The 4,867-nt window shown below is 40.3% G+C and overlaps 1 annotated feature.

Moving 5' to 3' along the window:
- Positions 508-577: an enhancer, noted in NCBI's record as "active region_27815". NCBI's record gives its function as "activates an Ori minimal core promoter by ATAC-STARR-seq in GM12878 lymphoblastoid cells {active_cell/tissue: GM12878}" and the evidence as "EXISTENCE:reporter gene assay evidence [ECO:0000049][PMID:35858748]".

Genomic DNA, 4,867 nt, shown 5'->3' with positions numbered 1-4,867 from the left:
CAGAGCTGCAAACATCTTTGAGCCTATTTCTTCTTTTCTGTCCTGCTCTTCCCCACACCCGCCCTCCCCTGCCACCTGCCAGAGCATGAGAGTGCAGGGCTGAAAGCATAAGGCTTTCTGAGCCTTGAGATCCTCTGAAGATTTATCCCAGCTCAAGAATAAAGCAGTTATGAAAGACCTCTTGAATTCGAGAAAGTACTTTGTGCATTTTTAGTATTCAAATTTCAAGTATGTGTGACGGGTTTTCCGATCCAATTCTGAAGAATCAGATAGAGTTATTTAAAATTATAACTAAAAACACAAATACAGTGTGGAACTGAGAGAAGAGACGTGGTAGAATGAGAGAAGATAAGCACTTCTAAGAAGTGGGAAGACTGGGGAAAGGAAAGGAGAAACAGAAAAACTAGTTTTTTACCATTAGAGGCTACATTTTGTATTTTATGTTGTTCACTCCTGCCATCTAGTGGTTATTATGTAGTAATGCTAAAGCCAGTTCAGTCTGAAGTTACCAAACTAAAAGATACAACAGTCCCCTGAGTGTTTACTTCCGCGACAAGTCCCCTGCGTTCCTCTCTGGTATGAACATAATTGTGAATGTTCAACATCTGTTAATGTCCATAGCATTTCAATAAGAAGCCAAGGCTACTAACCTAGAATGAATGTGAAAAGTTCCAAGATCTCCCCTCACTCACTCAGTATCCCACTTTGGGCAAGTCGTCTCCCCGCAAAAAAAACTGTTCCATTCTGAAATTCCAGCATTTTAACAAGTTTCTTTTGTTCTAAATATTGGATGACCCAATATAACTGTGTCTTGCAAGACACTCTTAAACTAAAGAGCTAAATATACTAATGAAATAGAACCGTAGTCTCTAAATAGTGATCCAATCATCAAAAAGATCCCTTGCCTTTTTAAAAACCTTGATATAAAGAGAAACTCAAATGTGTATTATGTGGTCTCTAGTTTTAATGTTGTAAGTTGCTTTTAGAAGAATATGGTTCAAAACTTTTTTCCCAAACGCAAGCCTTTTCCATTTCTCTGATTATCGGTATGGGGTAGGAGGTTCCATTGCAAACTCAGCAGCTCAGACTTGGTTGCTGTGCTGGGGGTTCCCAGTAGCACTGTAAAAAAAGGTAGTGCACTGCCAAGTGGCTAAAGAGGTCAAGAACAAAGCCGGCTGTGAGATAAGAAAGTTTTTTAAGGGTTGGAAACCTGCAGTGAGAGGTCTGATCTTGGCAATCATATCAAAGGCAGTGGTTCTACATTTTTTAAGGTGGAAAAAACACAAGGGAAGATCTGTCTGAGAAGTAATGAGCTGCAAGCATGACTGGCTTTCTGGAAGAGAGTTTTGCAATGGCATAAAACATTCCCAGGTCTAGATGTGTGGATGACAAGCACAGAGATGGAAAGTGGCAGGCTGGAAGAGAGAAACTCAAGGCATATTTTTAAAAAGATAATTTGGAGGTGAGGGGATGTTTGACTTACACTTTCAAAAAACACAATGAAATTTTTTTAAATACAGCTTTTTTTTCCAGTAAGAAGGAAATTATTACTGATCCATTGTCTTTCTGGAGTCTCTAGGTAGGGAGGGAGAAAAATCTGGTATATATAACGAAGCAATCTTGGTGCATGTACATGACTAACCAGATCTCCACCAGGGCTGTCTTCACTAGTGCTAGGCTGGCCATTGTGACACTTGGTCCCTTTCATGTGCTCCTTACTTCCTGTTCTTATGCCCTGAACTCACTGTGTCCAGCCATCCCGGCCTTCTGTGTCTTTGTTCTTTCTCATTCCTACCTCAGGACCTTTGTGCCAGTGATTATCTTCCACCTGCACATTATTTTCCCTCTTCATTTTGGCAGTCAGGCCTCAAATATCACCTCCTTTAAAATGTTTTCTCTGCTATCCTCTCTAATGCTGCACCCCACCCAACACCCTAGTTTCTTTCTATCAAATAAACTTTAATTTTTTTCACAAAGATAATTTCTCTATTCCTATCTTTCTTATTTTTGTTTAATTGTTAATCATCTCTTTCCCCTGTAGAATCTAAGCTCCATATGAGCAAAGTCTTTCATATCTTGTTTATTGCTTAAATCAGTAAGGGCCCCAACAGGAAACAGATGAGTAATTAGGAGATGCTTAGTAAGGGACTGTTTAGGAAGCGACTGTTTCATTGCTCCTCTCGGCAGTGCAATATTTTGGTGCTACTAACAGTGGGGCAGGCTATAGCCACTAGTAGCCCTGAAGACCGAGGTAGGTGCATTACCGGGACACCTAATAAGAAAAGAGACCTGCAGTGGAGAGACACAATCAGTCTGTGGCCCCCCTTCAAAGAGAGCTGGGAAAATCAATGTCTCAATTTCCTTCCCCTTCATCTCTCACATTGCCTACTGAGGCTTATACTAGTGTGTGCTTATGCTTAATACTTATGTCTGTAATCCATGAATAGCATAAGGACTAGAAATTCAAAACTGAATGACCTTTGACTTTAGAAAGAGCAAGTGATTTTCCCTGAAGATTGCCTTCAGCCACCAACAGGCTAAAGAGACCCACTTCTACTTCTCAGCAAGGCAGGAAGGCGCCAGACTAACTGGTATGCCAAGGACAAGTGTTTAGTTGTGAAGTGCATTACAGAGATGATGGAAAGCTTTTCGAGACATCAGATTGTGGGACTTCAAAATTTGAAGAAGTACATACATTAGAGAGTAGTATAGGCGTTCATTAATGCTTTATAAGCCCTTTCAGTAGGCTCCACAGTTCACAGAGAGCTCCACATATCCTATCTCATTCAAATCTCAAAGTCTTCAGGCAGATAGCAAGTAATGTCCTCATTTTAGAGACAAGGAAAATTTGCCTTAGCAAATTAAATGTCTTGCCCAAGGTCATACAGCTATCAGGGGTGAAACACAAATTCAGAGAAAGGGAAAAGAATCTTTTGGGGAAAAAAAAATCCTCTAAGAGGTGTGGGAGATGAGTCTGAGGGAATTTGATGAGCTAATCTGACCAAGAGTTTTGATAAATTGTTACTCTATTGCAAAAATTGCCTGTTTCTGCGGGAGTCTTTGTCCCAGGTGTATTAGTAGGTGAAATAAAAATGAAATAACAAGACAACATAACAGAAGAAAACGTCAAGGATCTGCATAGTCCGTCTGAATAACACACAGCCTAGGGAGATGACATGTAAATGATCAAAGCACCTCTAAAACTATTGCTCTTCTTCCTACCACCTAAATCTTAGCCTGGGAAGAGAAAGTAAGGTACAAAAAAGGCAATTCCAAGTGATAGCAATTCCCATGAAATAGGAAGAAAACAGAGCTTTCACTTCTCAAATATTAAATCTCTCCAGATAGTGGAATTCTGAACTAGCAGGAGTTGACTGATGAAACAGACTGCTAATTTTTAACTACTTATATTCATTCACCTTCTGTTAATGTATTTAATCTCTTTACTCGTTATTTTACCCTAAAATCACAATGTTATTTTTCACATGCTAGTTGTAGAAGGAATGTAACATATTTACTAGGAATAAAAGTGGTTAGCCTTTATAGATGAGTTTCACCTCTCCTGCCTGCCTCTTGGCAGACATAATAAAGCCAAGGTACAGTCAGTGCCAGAAAACCTTAATGAGATGGGAGACAAGAATGAAAAGTTATCAGAGGTACAGTATTCCTGGAGATTTTTAAAGCAATGGCAATGAGCCATGTTCTTAGCTACAATTAAAATATGGTCTTTAGAGGTGCCTCAGTCAGTCTCAAACATCTTGCAGCAGATCTTCAGGGCCAGATTTAGATTTTACTGCACCAGGCTTGTGGGTAAATACAACACTTAAATTTTCTTTGTTTTTGTTTTTGTTTGTTTGTTTGTTTGTTTTGAGACTGAGTCTTGCTCCATTGCCCAGGCTGGAGTGCAGTGGTGCGATCTCAGCTCACTGCAACCTCGACCTCCTGGGTTCAAGTGATTCTCCTGCCTCAGCCTCCTTAGTAGCTGGGATTACAGGGTGCCCACTACCAGGCTCGGCTAATTTTTGTATTTTTAGTAGAGACGTGGTTTTGCCATGTTGGCGAGGCTGGTCACCTGACCTCAGGTGATCCACCCACGTCGGACTCCCAAAGTGCTGGGATTACAGGTGTGAGCCACACACCCGGCCAAGACACTTAAATGTTCAGCCATCAGTGAAAGCCATTTATGTGGCTAATACTGGTGATGAAAAAAACGGTGGTACAATTGCAATTTTGTTACATGGATATATTGCATGGTGGTAAAGTCCTGGCTGTTCGTGTGCCGATCACCTGAACAGTGAACATTGTACCCAATAGATACTTGTTCAACCCTCAACTTCCTCCTACCCTCCCCCTTTCTGGAATCGCCAATGTCTAGTATTCCCCTCTGTTTTTCAGCATGTACTCATTGTTTAGCTCCGACTTATAAGTGAGAACACACCATATTTGACCTTCCAAAACGGTATTATTAAAATGCATTTTTTAAAGTTGGGAGTTGAATCCTTAAGGACATTGTTTAAAATCTACTTTTCAAAGGATCCAGTGAAAGTATTTCCCCGTAAGCAATGCAGCCACTAATCTGCATTATTCAGTGTGCTCTATCGCAATTAATCTGAAATCCTTCAGCAATGGAATAGAACAACCAGAAGAAGAATCCTCTCACCTTATTATTCACAAGTTGTGTTCTGTAGTTGTCATTCATAAACAACTTTTTTCTGAGACCAAAAACAATCAAGTGGACAGAAACTTAATTCTGCAGCATATGCAAGAGAATTAAATAATCTACCTCATAAGTGAGCAAAACCCTATACTGACTTGGCTGCTCATTTTCTTTATGATACAGGCGGAGCCTTTTGTGCCTCAGCCTTCC

The sequence above is a fragment of the Homo sapiens genome, chromosome 8 (genome assembly GCF_000001405.40).
Source record: "Homo sapiens chromosome 8, GRCh38.p14 Primary Assembly".
NCBI lineage: Eukaryota > Metazoa > Chordata > Mammalia > Primates > Hominidae > Homo > Homo sapiens.
Note: the sequence above shows the minus strand (reverse complement) of the source record. Positions and strands in the feature narration are given on the sequence as shown.